Here is a 20,854-nt window from a genome sequence, read left to right on the forward strand (position 1 = left end):
ATTGAAGCAAGGTTTATACAGACCTGCCTAAGGATATGTTCTCTCGCTGCCCCATCAGGGCCACTTGGACGACGGCCACGATGCCCAAGACTTTGATTATCAGGCTTACGATTCCAACGACTAAGTGCAAATTTTTTAGAACAGCTAACATTGTACCTAAGAAATTCAAGAAAGAAAAAATATTTAATGATATATGGGACAATCCATTTAGTATTTAATTGTGACTTTAAAGTGCAACTGTGAATCAGTAAGTACCACAATACATCATTAATGAATGTAAGACCTCATAAAGTAACTACACTGTTCAATGGATTTACTTATGCTAAAGGTCAAAAAACAGGCTCTGTGTATACCATAATATATCTCTCAATATAATACTGGACATCTATAACAAGGTATTGTATTTTTTCCTGATTACAGCATGACAGTGGGAAACTGCCTGCAAAATACAGAGGATAACCAATTTTCATAGCAGTAAAAAAAATGGAAGGTTCCGAAAGAAAAAGAAGTTATGTAGTATCTAAATGTTTATTCAATCTGATTTTTCTAAGTAATAACTTCCAAAGAGACATTAATTTTTAAAAGTTTAATATACTAGGGAGAGGATCTCAAGCAGCTAACAAAAGATTTTTCAAATATTATTAAAATCAAAGAATGAAAATGTAAAGTGGAGATTTTAAAGTTACACAAGGAATTCATTGCTCTCACTATTCAGAAAATTTAGAAGTATATAACTCTTTAATGAAAGATTTTCTTTTATCACAATAGACTGCCTAGTATTTTTGAACATAGACCTTTATAAGACATGATGACAGCTTAAAAGAATCCTATGTCTTTTAATGGATCCTAAAGCCCTGGAACCAGGACTGGCAAACTTTTTCTACAAAGGACTAGATGGTAAATATTTTAAGTTTCATGGGCCATATAAGTTTCTGTCACAACTACCCACCTCTGCCACTGTAGTGTGAAAGCAGCCATTGAAAATACCCTGAGCCAGGCCCAGTGGCTCACACCTGTAATCCCAGCACTTTGGGAGGCCAAGGTGGGTGGATTACTTAAGCTCCAGAGTTCAAGACCAGTAAATGGCAAGACCAGTTCAAGGCCAACACGGTGAAAACCCGTCTCTACCCAAAATACAAAAACTAGCCAGGTGTGCTGGCACACACCTGTAGTCCCAGCTACTTAGAAGGCTAAGGTGGGTGGATGGCTTGAGCCCAGGAGGCCAAGGTTGTAGTGAGCTGTGATAGCGCCACTGCACTCCAGCACAGGTGACAGAGCCAGACCCTGACTCAAAACAATAAAAATAAAAAAATAAAAAATAAATAGAAAATATTGAATAAGCATGGTTGTGTTCTAGTAAAATTTTCAGTAACAATAACAGTAAAATTTGAATTTCACATAATTTTCATGTATCATGAAATATTATTTTGATTTTTTTCCCAACAAACTAAAAATTTCAAAATCATCCTTAGCTCATGAGCCCATACAAAAAAATGAACAATGGGAAAGACCTGGCCTGGGTGAGTTTGCCAACCTTTCCCTAGAAAGAAGAGTGAGAAGAAATGATCTAAGAAACAAATTTCTGAAAAGCTATGCAAAGCTAGGAAAAATATATGCAGTTTCATTTTTACATATATGAAACGCCTTGGTAACCTATTTTCAAAAATCTGTTTTGTAGAGATGGGGGTCTCACTATGTTGCCCAGGTGGGTCTCAAATTCCTGGGCTCAAGCAATCTTCCCACCTCAGCCTCCCAAAGTGCTGGGATTACAAGCATGTGCCACCACACCTACCCTTCAAAATTCCTTTGCTCCAAGAAAGTTACAAGAATAAATCCCAATTAACTTTGCTATTGCTAACTATTCTAGAACCAGTATGCTGACACCAAAACAAATTCTCCTCACCTACATTTTATAAAGATATCAAGAGGTGGAAATAAAAAGTACTATGATAATGAATATGCTATTTTTCCCATAAAAATATAAGTATCTTGATAGCCAATTCATTTTACCCTAAAACAATTCGAGATCCTGCTGTGTTCATAATGTGCTCATTTGTGGGCTCAGCAATGTAGGTTTCTGATTTCCATTTATATCAACTGATAAAACTTCTTTATCCGTTAAGAAAAGAATAGAAAAGAGGCTAGCTTTATACTTGATATTTTGTCCCTAAATATTTAGCTTTCCAAGACAGCTAGGCAGACATGTAAATGGCAATGGTTCTTCCCTGACCTAATCTACCCTCTCTCATCCACATTTCCCTGTTAGGGCCCCTACCCTGCTAAAGAGGTTCATCGAAAGGATACTAATGTGACAGCTCAGCAATCATCTCTGAGAGAAGACTGATGGCAGCATTAAGTGTTCTCAAATATTTTTAAATAGTCAAGAAGTTTAAAATATTCTGAAAGGGAGTCCTTTCCCCAAATTTTTAGAGTTTTTAAATCACTTAGAATCAGATAACCATTGTTCTTTCTTGTGGTATATGCAAACTAGAAAACTCAAGTTAAAACATGAGTTACATAATTTGATTATTGATTTATCAGTAACATCAAAGCATATTTGAAAAACAGATTGACAACCAAAACAATGAGCCCAATTTTGGAGGAAAACACTTCTATTATTTAACTTAAGTTTTACTAAGTATATTTTGGAAATAACCTATACGAAATAAAATATTCAAGTAAGAAATTCCCTAGATGTATGCAATTATATTAATTTTTTTCATGAGGTTAAGGTTATTTATTTTTTATGGATGCATAATAGATGTACATAGTTTTAGGGTATGTGTGATAATTTAATACATTCATATAATCTGTAACGATCAAATCAGTGTACTTGGGATATCCACATCTTAAACATTTGTCTTTTCTTCATGCTAGAACCATTCCAATTCTCTTCTACCTATTTTGAAATACAGTACAAGCTATAGTCATCCTACTGAAGATCTTAAATCCTTTGAAAGAATAATTACCTTTTTGAACAGAGAACCAATTTCAAAATAGTGTGCACACACTTCAACTTTAGTGGTAAGTATCTGTATTACTAGGATTTATTACTGGAATTAGGGTGGGGTTCTTTAACATAAACCAAACTTGGGAATTATACGATTAATGAAGAGACTAAACATTTATTTTGTTATTAATACTATTTATCAGCCAGGCGTGGTGGCTCACACACGTAATCCCAGCACTTTGGGAGGCCAAGGCGGGCAGATCACCTGAGGTCAGGAGTTTGAGACCAGCCTGGCGAACATGGTGAAACCCCATCTCTACTAAAAATACAAAAATTAGCTGGGCATGGTGGCAGGTGCCTGTAATCCCAGCTACTCAGGAGGCTGAGGCAGGAGAATCTCTTGAGACTGGGTGGTGGAGGATGCAGTGAGCCGAGACGGCACCACTGCACTCCAGCCTGGGCTATAGAGTAAGACTCTATATCCAAAAACAAACAAACGAACAAACAAAAAAATACTACTTATCTGAAATAATGACTATTGAAAATACTAATTCAGAAAAGACAAGTATTTTGCTGTCTGATAATGTTAACAGTGTGGGGAATTTATACTACAGCTGTCCCATAAGAAATCTAAAATAAATAGGATGATTCAAACAAATGAAAACATTTTAAAACAACACAAAGTAAATCAAAGTATTTCAATAATGATAAAACAGCTGATAAAACAAATACTGTTTTTGATACTTTAAGGACTAGTATTATATAATCATGATGAAATCGTGATGACTTCATTGAAGGGATTCTCCTAAATATATTCTTACCATCAGGAGATTACTACTTTAATATTAGATTATACTGTACAATTGATTTTAAGTATTATGAATATGTAATTTTCGCAAAGCAAAATCTAGTAACTAAATACTAGGTGGCTCCAGATACTGCCTATTTGTATTATTCTTCTATATAATAATATCTAGGTTTCTTCTATAATATTACATATTAAAATATCTATAGTTATCCTTGGTAAGCTATTCAAGGGTTTTTTGGTTTAGTTGCAATGGCTATTTATCTGTCCTTTGGGAAATTCAAGAGCACAGAAATACCTTTTGGCACATGACATAGTGCAGAATCGTTTTGACCGCAAAAATTCATTAGCATATCCCATTTTCCCACAGAATTCACACTTGAGCAACTCACTGTCCATTTCTTCTAATGTCTCTAAAAAAGAAGGAAACAAAGGAAAAAAAGGTTCCAAAAATTTAATTATGCAAATTTTCTTTAAGTCTATACTTTGGTTGGATACTGCTAGCAAACCAATGGCCCTTTAACTTTTCAATCCACAGCCACTCTGGCAGGGCAAAAGCCTTCAAAACACAACCACTGCTACTAATTCCCTCTTGCTTCTGCATAAAAATTACAAGGAGTTTCTTTCTATATAAATAAGCATAACATTTTAAAAGGTTCATCTTGCTTACAATCCATCTAAAATGTAAAAAAAAATTATTTATAAACACTGGGAGAGAAATGAAGATGAATAACATAGGCATTATCCTCCAGGAGGAACACTTTCAAAAAGCTGAGGGTGGGATATGAATTTTGATAAATTGCACTGTGGAGATACATAGCAGGGAACTCTTAATTCTAACTGGAGAGAATAAAGATGGCTTCAAAATGGTGAAATTGTGATATGTCTGATTTTACAGGAGCATGCAAAATAATTAACTCTCTCGAAGATCTGCAGTATATGATAAAATATATAAAGATGCATATATCAGGAGGCTGAGGCAGAAGAATCGTTTGAGACAAGGAGTTTGAGACCAGTGTGGGCAGCATAGCAAGACCCCATCTCATTCATACATATATATACATACATAAAATTCTTTAAAAAGATGCATATATCTAATTATAAAACAGTTCCTTTTAGTTATATTGCATTAAAATAAAAACTAGGCTTAAAAATCAGTTTCATAATTCCCAACCACTGATGCTTTTTTTCATCATGCTTTTCTTTAACTTAATGGGTGCTCCCTACTAAGTTAGAATGTCCTTCTTCCACCCTACATATGTAACTATCTTCAGGCAGTAACACAAAGCGCAAAGACCCTTCCATGCTAAATCCCCGGGTACTCGGCAGGAGTCACCCATAAGCAAACAACTAAATCTTCATGACCCACAATTTTCTCATCTGTAAAATGGGGTTTATAATACATTTCCCAAAGAATTGAAGTGGCAATTATATGTGTGCCCAAAAGGTAGTAGGCATTAAAAGTGATAGTTCCATTTCCTATTTTCCACATAAGAACTAAAAGGGTAGTATGACATGTAATAGCGCTCAAGAAATACTTTGGTAAAACTTGTTAAATTCTTAAATCAACCACATTTTGCCATTTTCTTGCATCATCATAATTCCTCTGCCAAGTCATATTAAAAAAAGCAACAAAAGCATTTTACTGAAAAGCATTTTACTAACTAAAGCTTTTAGCTGTGAACTCCATATGTGTGCTCTTTCTATGTTACTCATTTAATAAAGACTAAGATAAATACAAGGACTCAGAAATGTAGACATGGGTGGCATGTACTCAGTGAGCTCAGGTACTCACATTACCTCAGTTTTACTGGGGAAGCAGATGGCAAAGTGCTAAATTAAGTGAAGTAGCAAGAACTACTAAAAAAACAAACTGTGAATTAATATTTGACATTGGTGGGGCATCCAAATACATTATCCTGAATAATGAAATCATGAACTGACACGTGACCAGTTTAAGGAAATTCTCAGGACTACCTTCATAAGCAAAAGTCATCAATTTAGTAGCAATGAGGAAGAAACAGTCTCAAAACAAGTAAATTAAAAATTGCCCCTTCCAATGACCTTCCAACGGCCCAGTCAGGAGATCCACCAACACATTCCTGAGACCTGAAAACATAATTCCTAGAAGTACTGTTTTTATTTTGTCATGCTTATAATCTGATCTTACTATAATCTGATCTGACTGAGAAGCCTATAGGGAGACAGAACTTCTCACTCAACCACCACTGCCATTAGTTCCAGCCCTGAAAGAGTCCATTCCTCAGGGTTATTCCAGGAACAGGATATGCTAAAAGCTTTGTTTCAAAGATCTTTTGTTAATTAACATAGCAATGTCCAACACCTGATATTAAGTCAGAATACCTTATGAAGGAGAAGGAAATGTTTTTGTTGGTGACAGAGAGGAAATACCAAACAGAAATGGTTTACAGTTAACCGAACAAAAATAAGAGTAGTATAAGTTTTATTTCTCATAAAGAAGCGAGGGACATTAACAGATTCAAAAATTCTTGTTCTAATGTTCAGTCAGATTTTTAACAAATTTGGTAATATTACCAAGGTCACTCTTTTACATTTATGAATTAGAAAACTGCCAAAACACTTTTTTAAAACTGCTGATTTAGCTAATAAAAATGGGATTCTATGGCAGAGACAGCTGGTAATTCTCCAGCATCCACTCTTTGCTTTTCTCCCATAGTAACAAAACCCTACGAACATGGCCACCCAGATTAAAAACAAGTTTCTGCCCTAGGTGTGGCTGATTTGTAACCAATGGCATATGACTGTAAATGCTCACAAATTCCAGATGGTGCTCTTTCCCCCATCTCATTGGTTAGAATGTGATCATGAAGATCAGCCATCTTGGAAATAAAAGTAACATTCTACAGATGACAGAGACATAAGACCCTGGAGCTTGAGTGCCCAATACTAAGGAACTACCACATAAGCCCTGGACTGATCTTTGGGTTATGTCAGAGAAAATTAAATTCCTATCTTCTTTAATCAAATATTATTCTGGATCTCTACTGAAGTGGCCAAACCTGCTTCCTAATCTAGATCCCCCATTTTCTGGCATGAGGGGAAGTTATTTTTTATTTCCCCCAAAGACCTGAAATCACATGAGGACAGCAGCAAAAAGAGGCAATGAGATGGAAATCATAATCAGTGTGAAGATATACCAAGGAAGACCATAAGCTACTTTGATGAATCACAATCTACTGGTTGGAGACTCTCATTATAGAACCAGTCTAAAGAGAACCACAGTTTATCCTTTATATGCTTACCAGAGGTTTTTTATGTTGAAACTATATATACTACTAAAACCAAAGCCACTAAATAAGTGACCTCACCATTTTACACTATAGTACTTCCTATAAACACTGAAGTACATAGTAACAGAAACATGAAAATTATAAAATTACCTTGGGAAATTAAAACTAGAAAGTATTTAAAATTTTAGCACATTTTATGTAAACATTTCTCCCCTATGAAATATATTATCTCTACATCTTCCTTTCCTTACTCTGATATCATATCCTGCTGATATGATAACATCAGTCCTTTCCTTTGAGAACATCAGTCCTTTCCTTCCTCTTCCTGCCATGACTACAGGTGTCAATTACATGCAAAATTTATACATACATCCTACAGACGGCCATCAAAGTCTCCAAAAACACTCTTTTATTCGTAACACCTTCCTAAAAATCTTCAGTACTATCCACCCACCTTCAAACCATCCACCTAACTTCAAACTTGCTTGTCTAATATCCAAGGTTCTCCAGAAACTCACTCTGCCAGTCATACTTCCCACTACCCCTCTAATCCAACCCTCTACTCTTCACTGCCCTCTCTCGAAGTTACCTAGCACTTACACATTCTTAGTGCGTTTACTTAGTGTTCTAATCTGAAATGTTCTCGCTGTTTATCCTAAATCTATGCATTAAATCCACGACCCACTTCAAATCTCATTTTTATAGGAAACCCACCAAACTAGGAATAATCTTAGCCAGTTTTAAAGTTCTAAATTCTGTCTATATAATTCAGTGTGACTATACCATCTGTAGCTCCTTCGTTACCTTTCTGTATGGAGATTCCCTAGATTCCTAGTTCCAAACTACATTAAAAGCTGCTGGAGGGAAAGCGGATTGTATTTTACTTCTTTATGTATGTAAATAATATATACATACATAACCTGTCATGTTCTAGAATAGTCTAACATATACTATATGTCCATTATATTATAAACTGAGGATCACACTATATGTTGTAAAGTTTCCTAAGCAGATTTCCATGTTCTTCCTATTGTGTACACAGGGAGACACATTATAAATACTTTTTAGCCTAGAACTTTCATTTATATACATATTGTAGATATAGGCCAAGAAAAAAAGAATACCTGCACATTCTTTGTTACTTTTCACTTCACATGAGAATGCTCTCAGATAAAATAGTATGTGCAATTAAAAGACAGTATTTGAGAATTAAAGGAAATGAAATTCACAAAAACAAAAGGCACAATACAGACCTTATTTGGAACCTGATTTAACTAAATAACTATAAAATGACTTTAAAAAGTTAGGGAAATATGAATATTGGCCAGGTATTATATAACACCAAAGAATTATTATTTTGCTATGTGTGATATGGCATTATAAGGAAATGTGTATTATTTTGAGAGAGGCACACTGACGTATGTACCGGTGACTACGATTTTCTTTAAAACAAGAAGAAGGAAGGAAGGAAGGAAGGAAGGAAGGAAGGAAGGAAGGAAGGAAGGAAGGAAGGAACGAACGAACGAAAGAACAAAAGAACGGAAAGGAAAGGGAAGGAAGGAAAAAGAAAGAAAGAGAGAGAAAGAAAGAGGAAGGAAGGAAGGAAGGAAGGAAAGAAGGAAGGAGAAAGAAAGGAAAGAGAAGAGAAGAGAGGAGAAGAGAGAAGAAAAAAGAAGGGTGGGGGTTAGGAATGGAGGAAGGAAACAAAATGAATGAAGCTACTGTGGCAAAATAATGTTGAAATTGGGTGATAATGTTGAGTCTGGGTGACTGGGGATTTATTATACGATTCTAATGAATGTTTGAAATTTTTCAAGGTTAACATTCTTTCAAATTAAAACCAATCAAACTGAACTCAGAATAAGTAGTAAAAATCAAATTTTAAACTAATATACTCCTTGCTGTTCAAATAAGAAGTAAAACGGTGATTCACATGTTGCAACAGTTTATAAAGAGCTAACAATGTCAGAGATGTCATCCTTTTAAGTTAGAAAATCTGTGGGCAAAGACAGTATCTAGTTTGCTTACCAGCATGCTATTTCGCTTAATTTAGCGAAGTAAAGGCACACAGTATAGGCTCAATAAATATTTGTAAAGTGAATAAATTAATTTTAATGAAATATACTAATACATTGAGGATAATTACTTAGACACAAGTGTTAATTCACTACTACAGGGCCTTGACTATTCTAAATGCTACTGCATTAAACTGAACTCTATCACCTGAAGGGCCATGATCAAAAAGATGCTCCTATAGAACACGGCAATTCAGAATCTCAGCCCAAAAAACAGTAAAAACTTTGCTGCTTTTAAATAGCAAATTCAAGGTATAAAATACCGTTTTCATTTTCATTTTTGTTTGCTTTCCTTCAGTCATTTTGGATACCACTTGGACTTCTATTTACTTTATTTCATTTTTTTTTTGAGACGGAATCTAGCTCTGTCGCCAGGCTGGAGTGCAGTGGCACAATTTCGGCTCACTGCAACTTCCGACTCCCTGGTTCAAGCGATTCTCCTGCCTCAGCCTCCAAAGTAGCTGGGATTACAGGCACACACCACCAGGCCCAGCTAATTTATATATATATATATATTTTTTTTTAGTAGAGATGGGGTTTCACCATGTTGGCCAGGATGGTCTTGATCTCTTGACCTTGTGATCCACCCACCTCAGCCTCCCAAAGTGCTGGGATTACAGACATAAGCCACCGCGCCTGGCCTATTTTTTTTTTTTTTTTTGAGATGGAGTCTTGCTCTGTCACCCAGGCTGGAGCACAGTGGCGCAATCTCAGCTCACTGCAACCTCCGCCTCTGGGGTTCAAGCAATACTCCTGCCTCAGCCTCCCAAGTAGCTGGTATTACAGGTGCATGCCACCACACCTGGCTAATTTTTGTATTTTTAGTAGAGACGGGGTTTCACCATGTTGGTCAGGCTGGTCTCAAACTCCTAACCTCAAGTGATCTGCCTGCCTCGGCCTCCCGAAGTGTTGGGATTACAGGCATGAGCCATCGTGCCTGGCCTTATTTCATTCTTTATTAGAATAAAGTCTATAAAAAAGGAGTTTTCTCGTTGAACAAATGTAACCACCTCTTGAATGAAGAGTATATACTTAATACAATTATAATATCCACCTGATGTCAAACATCAGCATGCAGAAAGTCTGAAACGAAACAACCCAGAAGCTCTAAAATTTTAAGCTAACTCACTAAAATACTCATTTGTTACTTAAGTCTGCTTTAAAAAAGAAAGAAAATTGATTGTTTTGATACTAAAATTCTGAATTGCCTTCTCTCACATATGATGGAACTTTTCCCACTCACACTCCTTCAAAAGTCAAACTGACATTGAAGAAATTAGCACTAATCTTGCTATTTTAGTTATGTGACCATTGAGAGTCTGATTAGCTTTCCCATTATTTTAGTCAAATGGTGCATTATATGAAAATAAAAGTTGAATACTTCCAGTGAAATTCTGTACAGAATAAAAATCCACATCCTGTTTTAAGCAGTAAAAGTCAAAGTTAAATTAAAGGGTATCTTAAGTGAAACCCACAAACCTTCAGCAATCATGTCTTCCATCTCTGTGTCAGATGAATTATCCGCATGTTTTGTATTATTCTGTAGCTCTGGCTGAACACACACTGAATTTATCACCTGATTATCCAAAAGAGGCCGTTTTTTCACAGGCTGTTCTATTAGCAAAGAGGAACGACTCACCTTTAAAAAAGGAGAAATAATAAAATGAAACAATCTCCAAAAAGACATTCAGAAATACTTTGGTTTAAAAAACTCTTAAAATGAAACCTATTTGTGATAATTTACTAGTTCAACTGATCAGATCCATTTAGTAAGTGCCTTATTCCTTGGGAAAAGATGAGGCAGAGTGGACATGAATGGTTTATTTCTGGTCACCAGCAGTACAGCTGCTTCAAAGTCTCTGTCAAATGGAACCTATTGTCTGAGTTTAGGCAAGGAGTTTTTGAAAAAAAAGTCTTAATATTCAGCAATTCTTTATCTTCAGAATTAATACTAATCATCCAGTTATCCTGCACTGCAAATATTTTGGTAGCTCAGTCCAACACTGAAAAACAAAGGCAATAACTGTCAGTATATTTAAGAGTTGGGTTTTTTTTTTAACTTTAAAAAGTCTACTCAATTAAGCAATTCTCTCTCAAGTTCTTTGTGGAGACTAACTTTTTTCCTTTATAAATTTTAGCGTTTTTTCTTTCTTTCTTTTTGAGACACAGTTTTGCTCTTGTTGCAATGGTGCAATCTTGGCTCACCACAACCTCCACCTCCTGGATTCAAGTGATTCTCCTGTCTCGGCCTCCCAAGTAGCTGGGATTACGGGCATGTGCCACCGCGCCTGGCTAATTTTGTATTTTTAGTAGAGACGGGGTTTCTCCATGTTGGTCAGGCTGATCTCGAACTCCCAACCTCAGGTGATCCACCCACCTCAGCCTCCCGAAGTGCTGGGATTACAGGCGTGAGCCACTGCGCCCGGCCAATTTTAGTGTTTTCCATACGAATGCAAGACAAACAAAAGATCATCAGTAAATGCTGACATGCCAGTATCCTCAACTAATTAAGATTTTTCATGCACAAAGCTTTTTATTTGTAGGGTTAATGATCAAGACAAAATTATTGGATGTATTTTCTGGATAAGAAAACTAAAATTCAAAATGTTTAGGTGATTTGTTTACAAAAACAGAATGAGGACTAGAACTCAAGTCTCCTGAATCCTAGTTTAGCAAACTAATCCACTATAATCACAAAAGAAATGGAAAATCCTCAAATATTAACAAATTAACATCAAAATATTCACTTATATTCAGTATACTTGGTTAACTCAGGAATACTACCTATTTTAGAAGTATTTTCAACAAAAACAACTCAGATCAAATATATTCATTGATTCACTGGTGAGCCCTCAGCTAATTTAAAAAACAGAATGACTAGAACATCTTATTCCTCAAGAATGCTGGTTAAGTCTCCAATATCTGCCACATATGGGGAACAACAGCTTATTGGACAGAAACTTCTACATTTAACTTTAGAGTATAATTACTCACAAACTTTTTAAACATTTTGTTCATTTGAGTTAGATATTTAATATGCCTCAAGTGAAATTAAAATTTACAGAAGTTATTGCTTAAAGAAAAACTCACATTCAATGCTAAGGGCATACACTTCTCACAGATGAATAAATTTAAATCATTTTCCAAAAAATAATTCAGCAATACGTATCAAGAGTCTTATGAATATCTATGTAATATGACATAATAACTCTATTTCTAGGAATTCATACTAAGAAACTTATTTAAAATGTGTATGATTTATATATATAGATATTCCTTTCAGAACTATTTGAACAGTGAAAAAATGGAAACCTAATGTCCAACAATAATGGAAAGATTACATAAATTATGGATGTTCATAAAGTGAAATATTATGTAACCTTTCAAAATGTTTCCAATACTATTAATAATGAGAAAATACTCAAATTTCCTCAGTGAAAGGAGAACTGTATGTACCATAATCTTGATTATATGTATGTATCTATAACATATATACATTATATACACAAACACATATACATTAAAACCACAGTATGTATATGTACATATATACAATACATATGTACATATATACCACAATACATATGTATACACATATACATACTGTGGTATTAATGTGTACTGTGGTATATATAGACATAAACATATTGTGGTATTAATGGGGATCATTTGCCCTGTACATTTCCCAAATCTTCCATTTAGAACATGTATTAGTTTTATAATGTGAAAATAAAAGTTATGGCTCTCACTAGTGATAACAGATAATAATGGCTATGGCCATGAAGTGCCAGGTACCATACAGAATAATTTATGCACATTTAGTTCTCTCGACAACTCTAAGAGCAAAGCACCGTCTCCACCTGACAAATAAGCAAAATAAAGATCAGAAAGTTTGAATGACTTGACAAAGGTTACCCAGTCAGTATGGAGCAGACAGGGAAAAAAGACTGTTCCTCCATCCACTGTATGAGAATTGTTATAGGAAATCCAAGTTTCTCACACACACACACACACACACACACACGAAATTGAACACAAAAACAACTGATTGGGTAGCTATCTATCATAATGCAAGATTTTCACCCATGAATCTGAAAATCCAGATGACTCAAAAGGCCTTCAAAAAATTTTTCATATTTTTATATATGCTTGTCTTTGATATATTTTCTAAGGAAAAATGTTTATCTCTAGATATTAGCATACAAATTATGTACAGCTTAGCTTCAAGTTGTAAGACCTGTAGTGATAGAGGACCTTCATTTTGAGCGGGACATTTTAAAGCATTTGAAAAATATGATTGAAGGCTGAAATTTAGGAATGAGAAAATATATTTGCTAATTACAAACCATCAATTGGGTAGCTTCAGATGTAACTTCAGATGATTTAAAATAATACACTTTATGGCCAGGTGCAGTGGGTCACACTTGTAATCCAAGCACTTTGGGAGGCTGAGGCGGTAGATCACTTGAGGCCAGGAGTTTGAGACCAGCCTGGTCAAGATGGTGAAACCCCCTCTTCGGTACTAAAAATACAAAAATTGGTCAGGCGTGGTGGTGCATGCCTGTAGTCCCAGCTACTGAGGTAGCTAAGGCATGAGAATCACCTAAACCTGGGAGGCAGAGGTTGCAGTGAGCTGAAACAGTGCCACTGCACTCCAGCCTGGGTGACAGAGCGAGACTCTCTCTCAAAAACTCAAATAAATAAATAAAAATAAAAATAGTAGTACACTTCAGCTGTCATTTCAGTTCCCTTAAAAAGAAAAAATGAGCCGAGCGCCATGCCATGGCTCACACCTGTAATCCCAGCACTTTGGGACCCCAGGAGTTAAAAACCAGCCTGAGAAACACGGCAAGACCTTGTCTCTACAAAAAAATACAAAAATTAGTGGGGCACGGTGGCGCACACCTGTAGTCTCAGCTACTCAGGTGGCTGAGGTAGAAGAATCAACTGAGCCCCAGGGGTCAAGGTAACAGTGAGCCATGATCGCACCACTGCACTCTAGCCTGGTCAACAGAGCAAGATCCTGTCTAAAAAAAAAAAGAAAGAAAAAATATAAAAGTTGATTTCACTGAATAAACTTCCAACTACCTTTCTCTAAAAATTATAAAAATATGTCCTGAAATTTTTTTCATTTTTTCCCTTAGTTTATGCATCTAAACTTAGCTGGCATAAAATTCTACATAAACATTTGGAAATAAAGGAAGTAGAAAGATAAATGCTAGATTAAAATGGACAACTTTCTTGAAATAAAATTACAAGCTTTTTATTAGAGAACAGTAATATGTAACTTTTAAAATAATGTTATATAAATTACAAACACACACACAAATATGCTTGCTACTTACAGGAAATGGCTCCAATCCCTCCTGAATCACAAAGCCTTCAATAACATGGGTTAGGATCTGTGGTTTAACAATAGCCTGTGGAGGTTTGTTCTCTATACTGGGAATGCTACTGTGCATAGATGTACTGTTACTCCTTGTGGTGGCAGCTGGAAGTAACAATGGAGGTGGTGGAACAGAAACATGTGAGGGATCTGATGGAGATTTAATTACTGAAGCACTGACTGATGCCACAGCAGGTAATTCCACTTGCTCTGAAAAAAAAACCAAAAAGTCATTTAAAAATTTTTTTAGCATTTTGCCCAAGCAAATGAAAGAGAATTAAGGAATAAATAATAACAACAGTTAATATCTGGTACTTTCAAAAACTGTTCTAAGAACCTTAAGACCTCATTTAATCTGTACAATAATCTTCTAAGGTAGAAGCGACTATTATTTCCACTTTATAGAGGAGGGTAGCTTGCTCAAAGTTATTCAGACCTTTAACAAATTGGGCCAGGCACAATGGCGCATGCCTGTAATGCCAGCACTTTGGGAGGTCAAGGTGGGTGGATCACCTGAGGAGAATTCGAGACCATCCTGGCCAACATGGTGAAACCCCATCTCTACTAAAAAAAAAACCAAAAAAAAAAAAAACAAAATTAGCAGAGCATGGTGGCACACGCCTGTCATCTCAGCTACTTGGGAGGCTGAGACAGGAGAATCACTTGAGCCCAGGAGGCGGAGGCTGCAGTGAGCCAAGACTGTGCCACTGCACTCCAGCCTGGGCGACAAGAGTGAAACTCTGTCTCAAAAAAAAAGCAAAATTGTTCCCATGAGACATGAAAATGTTTTAAGATATAAACTTACAAATAATTTATACTAAAATGGTTGCTTGGTTTTGTTTTGATGTTTCTTAATTTTAAGCTATTAAATCCCCTATGTTCCTATTTATATATTCCAAATGGTATAGGTGGGGCAGTGGAGTACTTTGAAAGTATGCTTAAATGAAATGGGGTCATGAAATCCACAGAACAAGTAGATTTATTTATTTATATGTTTTTTGGAGACCAGGTACATGTCGCCCAAGCTGGAGCCCAATGGTATGATCAAGGCTCACTGCAGTCTCAACCTCCCAGGCTCAGGTGATTCTCCCACCTCAGCCTCTTGAGTAGGTGGGACCACAGGTGTGTGCCACCATGCCTGCCTGGAAAATTTTTATTTTTTTGAGACGGAGTCTCGCTCTGTCACCCAGGCTGGAGTGCAGTGGCACGATCTCGGCTCACTGCAAGCTCTGCCTCCCGGGTTCATGCCATTCTCCTGCCTCAGCCTCCCGAGTAGCTGGGACTACAGGCACCCACCACCATGCCTGGATAATTTTTTGTATTTTTAGTAGAGATGGGGTTTCACTGTGTTAGCCAGGATGGTCTCTATCTCCAGACCTTGTGATCCACCCGCCTCGGCCTGCCAAATTGCTGGTATTACAGGCGTGAGCCACTCACCATGCCTGGCTGCCTGGATAAATTTTTTTAATGATTTTTGTAGAGATGGGGTCTCACTTTGTTGCCCAGCTGGTCTGGAATTCCTAGACTCAAGTGATCCTCCTGCCTCAGCCTCTCAAAGTGCTGGTATAAGCCACCCAGCTGGTCTGGAATTCCTAGACTCAAGTGATCCTCCTGCCTCACCTCTCAAAGTGCAGGTATAAGCCACCATGCCCAGCCTTCACAGCAGTTATATCCATAAATTAACCTAGTTTCACCAAATAATCCACCAAAATAAACCGTACTGGAAAACCTGTTTAAAGTCACACAAAGTCACACAATCTATAAAAAGCTAAAAAAAAAAAAAAAAAAAGAAAAAGAAAAGAAAAGAAAATCAGCAGAAAATGTTAATGTGCTGATTTCTAGGAACAAATACACAATTGTACAAACATATTATCAAACTAAGGAACTTCACAAAAATCCTATCTCACATACCAAATCTTCATACATACTTCTAGGGGACAAAGGATGAAAGATTTAAAAATTCTGAAGTAGGACTGAAAGGCACTTTTCTATAGAATGGAAAAAATAAATCTATGGAGAACTGAAACCTAAATTAAAATTTTAATGTCCCTTACAGATTTAGAGATAAGAGATACTTTACTTTTAAAATATAAAGCTGCACTAAGTATAATTTGGTTTGTTCAAGAAATAATGCTTGCTGTATATTCTAATTAATATCTAGATCATGTGCATAAATGTGCCAAACTTATAGTCCTAAATTTTGTTCAAAATAGAGCTATAAATTACTAACTTTTTGAAGATGGTAATAGCTATTTACATAAGTTGTAAAAATCGAAAACATGAGAAACACTCATGTATTACAATAGAAGAGAAAGACAATTATTACGCCCTCTAGATTTAAGAGAAGTATGAGAGAAAACCCAAGTTCTAACTGATAAAATTTTGCCACAAATCTGTCTATTCTCAGTATCATTTACTGAGCAAGAGATGTGAGATTTTTCTACCTTTTTGTATAGATGCTTTTCACTTTCAAAAAATTTTAAAGATTTATAACAACTGAATCTCAGATGGAAACAAGTCTATTTCTGCAAGTTAGTTTATTTCAAGATTTGATGAGTTACTGTAAAAAAAAAAAAAATCAACCTGTGCTTTAGTTCCCCCTCAAATATTACAGAAGAGTAATAAGTATGAGGTAAATTAGAGGAAGATGCAAGTCTACATTGTACTTTGACAATTTAGCCAGAGAGATGTGCTTGTCAGGATCTCAGACTACATTCCTGAGGAAAACATGGAAAGACGTTCTTGTGTTCCAATATTTCAGAAATGTTTAAACTTCCTTCAAGTACTATTAGTAATGCTTATTTTGTAATTAAATCACAACTAAAATGTAAGTTTACTATTCAATAAAACTGACTTTTTTTTTGGTAACTCTAATCTCATGACAGATTAGCAATAAAACTTACATTTCTGCCTTTAAATCAAAACTCCAGTTAATCCGCAGCAACATAAATCCATTTCAGTGTAAACCACAAAGATTTAATACTATAAACTTTCTTAAGTCTTATGAGGTATTACTTTGAATAAAAAGACAATAATAGGCCAGGCGCAGTGGCTCATGTCTGTAATCCCAGCATTTTGGGAGGCCGAAGTGGGTGGATCACCTGAGGTCAAGAGTTCGAGACCCACCTAGCCAACATAGTGAAACCCCGTGTCCACTAAAATACAAAAATTAGCCAGGCGCCTGTAATCCCAGCTACTCAGGATACTGAAGCAGGAGAATCACTTGAACCCAGGAGGCGAAAGTTGCAGTGAGCCGAGATCATGCCACTGCACTCCAGCCTGGGCGACAGAGCCAGACTCCATCTCAAAAAAAAAAACAATAATATAAAACTCACCTTAAATATTTTATATAAGTTTATTGACTGTTTTCTACTTTTCAGGAGGAGGAAAAGATAAAAGAAAATTAAATTTCCCCTTTTATGCTCTCTAGAGATTTACAATAGTAGTGAGGGAATAGAAGCTCGAGAGAAAAGAAGGGAAGGGGATATGGCACGCTAAAGAAAGCAGAGAGCAAGGGTTGCCTGGACGGCAGACAGGGTTAGTGGTCCCATAAGAGTTTGTTTCCATGCCTGTTGTAGCAGTCCTTCTTAACTGAAAATGATCATGAGGGCAATAAGATATTCAACAGAACAGAATACGTACAACAAAGCCGGAACCAAGATTAGTATTATTCAGATCAGGGGTCAGCAAACTTTCCATAAATGGCTGTAGAGTTTCTATGGCTATTCAACTCTGTGGTTAGTAAAAAGCAGCCACAATATCTGAACAAATGAGTGTGTGGCTATGTTTCACAGAACTTTATTTATGGACAACGAAATTTGAATTTTATATATATTTTCATGACATGAACTATTACTCTTCTTTTGTTTTCAATCATTCAGAAATGTAAAAGCCATCATTAGCTTGGACCACAGAAAAACAAGCAGCAAGCCATGCATGGTGGAGAGCACCTATAGTACCAGCTATTCAGGAGGCTGAGGCAGGATTACATGAGCCCAGGAGTTAGAGGCCAGCCTGGGCAACATAGTGAGACCCTATCTCTTAAAAAAAAGAAAGAAAACAGGCAGCAGAAAAGATCTGAACAGTGAGCAGTGTGCCAACCTCTAATCCTAACATTCATAAATTTAAAAAAATAACACGAAACATTTGTGTTTAGTAAAATACCTAGAATACACAGTAGCTTTGTGAGGAGGCACATACGGGATATTTGTTTGAACTCATAAACAGCACTGAAATAGTGAATAAGAATTTGAATGGTTAAGCACAAGAACTTTTTTTTAAGAGACAGAGTGTTGCTCTGTTGTACAGGCTGAACTCAAACTCCAGGGCTCAAGTCATCCTCCTACCTCAGCCTCTGACGAAGCTGGGACTCCGGGCATGCACCAAGAAGTCCAGGTAAGAATTTTTTTAATCCATGTCTAAAAGCACTTACTCAGTCTGAATCACAAACAATTGTGAGGAATATCATATATGGCTTAGAATGCTTCATGATTTTTGGAAAGCATTATTTAAATCTTTTGAAAGAATTTTCATTTATTCTAATTTTTAAACTAGAAATAGTCTGACACATGAATGTGAATGAGCATATGAAACATGTCTGCACAAATCACTAAAAATTAGAAGCCTGAAATGATAGGTTTTCATCTGGATGGTACTGAACAATTTATAAGCTATTGAGCTTCCCTGCTATTAAAGAATTTTCCAGGCTGGGCATGGTAGCTCACACCTGTAATCCCAGCACTTTGGGAAGCCGAGGCAAGCGGATCACTTGTACCCAGGAGTTTGGGATGAGCCTGGGCAACGGGATGAGACCCTATCTCTAAAAAATAAAAAATTAGCCAAGTGTGCTGGAAGGTTCCTGTAGACCCAGCTATTTGGAAGCTGGGGCAAAAGAATCTCTTGAGCCCAGGAGATAGGGGCTACAATGAGCTATGATTGAGCCTGGATGACAGAGACTGACCCTGTCTCAAAAAACAACCTTAAACTCAAATCTGTATTTTGTTACAATTAACTACCATAACAAATTCGTTTAATATTATCTCTAGTGAATAAACAGGCTGGGTGCAATGGCTCACACCTGTAATCCTGACACTTTGCAAGGCCAAGGCAGTAAAATCACTAAAGGCCAGTAGTTCAAGACCAGCCTAAGCAACATAGTAAAACCTCGTCACCATAAAAAATAAAAAATCAGCCAGCTGTAATGGTGTGCACCTGTAGTTCCAGCTACAAAAAGGGTGAAAGGAGGAAAGGGAAAAAAATCAACTTTTCCTATTATTAACATTTATCAAATAGAAAAATTCCCACAAATTTTGGTATTTTCTCACCTAACAAAGGATGTTCAGAAGTCAAATCTTCTCCTCTCCCCACTGTTATAGCTGCTGGAGACAAAGTGGGTGGTGGTGGGGTTCTATCCATCCGGACACATTCATCTGACTCTTCTGGCATTTCTTCTTCACACACATCTTCTACCTGATAAACCTGCAATGACAAACCATACTGCCTTAAAATGTTTCCAAAACTATATTTTATCAGGTGTTCTTAATTTCAGAAAATTAAATTCTATGTGTATTAAATTTAAAAACAAGGCAAAAATGACTACTCTAACAGACTGAAAGGAAAACTTAAAAATTGCTCGAATGAAGTTTTTCATATTTCTTCATAATATTTGACTGAAAGCAAGCTGTGGATCAGTATCTAGACCAAAAATCACCAAGGTTTCCAAAAAGATGGTAGTCAAGTCTGAAAATATTTTTTATTTCGATAATTAAAAAATACAAATAAAATAACGATTTTGGGAATTCAACTGTTTTTGTTAACTTCTAACTGTCATGAATCAAAACAGATACTAACATTTTTCATAAGCACACTAAGCGAATTCCTACAATGACACACTATATTAGGACATGTAGGATTCTATCCCAGGCTCTTCCTTATTATTATGTAATTTAAAGATTAAATTATAAAAAGTAACATCTGAGAATCTACAAAAAAAGATACGCAATTATATCTCTCCTTTTCTGTTCTACTCAACAATCTAATGACTCTTTATATATAATATGCAAACAGAAAATATCTTTCCTTGAAATGCATACACACACACACACACACAGCCTAAGCTCTTTGACACCTTATTTTTTTACTCTTTTTATAATGTTCCATACTTATGGGAGAAAGTTTTTAAGTCTATAACTTAACCACCTTGTTATCCAATTGTAAAGATTATACTTAAGAAGGAAAATGGGGCCAGGTGCAGTGGCTCGTGCCTGCAATCCAGCACTCTGGGAGGCTGAGGTGGGTGGATCACCGGAGGTCAGGAGTTCCACAACAGCCTGGCCAACATGGTGAAACCCTACCTCTACTTAAAAA

The 20,854-nt window shown here is 36.2% G+C and overlaps 1 protein-coding gene and 1 long non-coding RNA gene across 21 annotated transcripts in view; one reads left to right on the forward strand and one right to left on the reverse strand.

Moving 5' to 3' along the window:
• Window positions 1-20,854, reverse strand: part of PHC3 (polyhomeotic homolog 3) — a 94,150-nt gene that overhangs the window by 15,195 nt on the left and 58,101 nt on the right. For all 20 annotated transcript variants that reach the window (NR_199370.1, NR_199371.1, XM_047448988.1 and 17 more), the window contains 5 exons: window positions 19,813-19,966; window positions 14,448-14,698; window positions 10,582-10,741; window positions 4,054-4,168; window positions 24-156 (listed from right to left, as the gene is read on the reverse strand). Coding sequence is in view for 18 of the 20 variants with exons in the window: in XM_047448988.1 (XP_047304944.1) it covers window positions 24-156; window positions 4,054-4,168; window positions 10,582-10,741; window positions 14,448-14,698; window positions 19,813-19,966 (813 nt within the window). In the remaining 2 variants the exon portion in view is untranslated. The remainder of the gene's footprint in view (window positions 1-23; window positions 157-4,053; window positions 4,169-10,581; window positions 10,742-14,447; window positions 14,699-19,812; window positions 19,967-20,854) is intronic.
• On the forward strand, window positions 154-19,026 carry LOC105374209 (uncharacterized). The gene is made up of 3 exons (XR_924699.3): window positions 154-897; window positions 2,878-3,024; window positions 18,370-19,026. It is a non-coding gene; the product is annotated as an uncharacterized LOC105374209 (long non-coding RNA).

The sequence above is a fragment of the Homo sapiens genome, chromosome 3, assembly GCF_000001405.40.
Source record: "Homo sapiens chromosome 3, GRCh38.p14 Primary Assembly".
Classification (NCBI taxonomy): domain Eukaryota; kingdom Metazoa; phylum Chordata; class Mammalia; order Primates; family Hominidae; genus Homo; species Homo sapiens.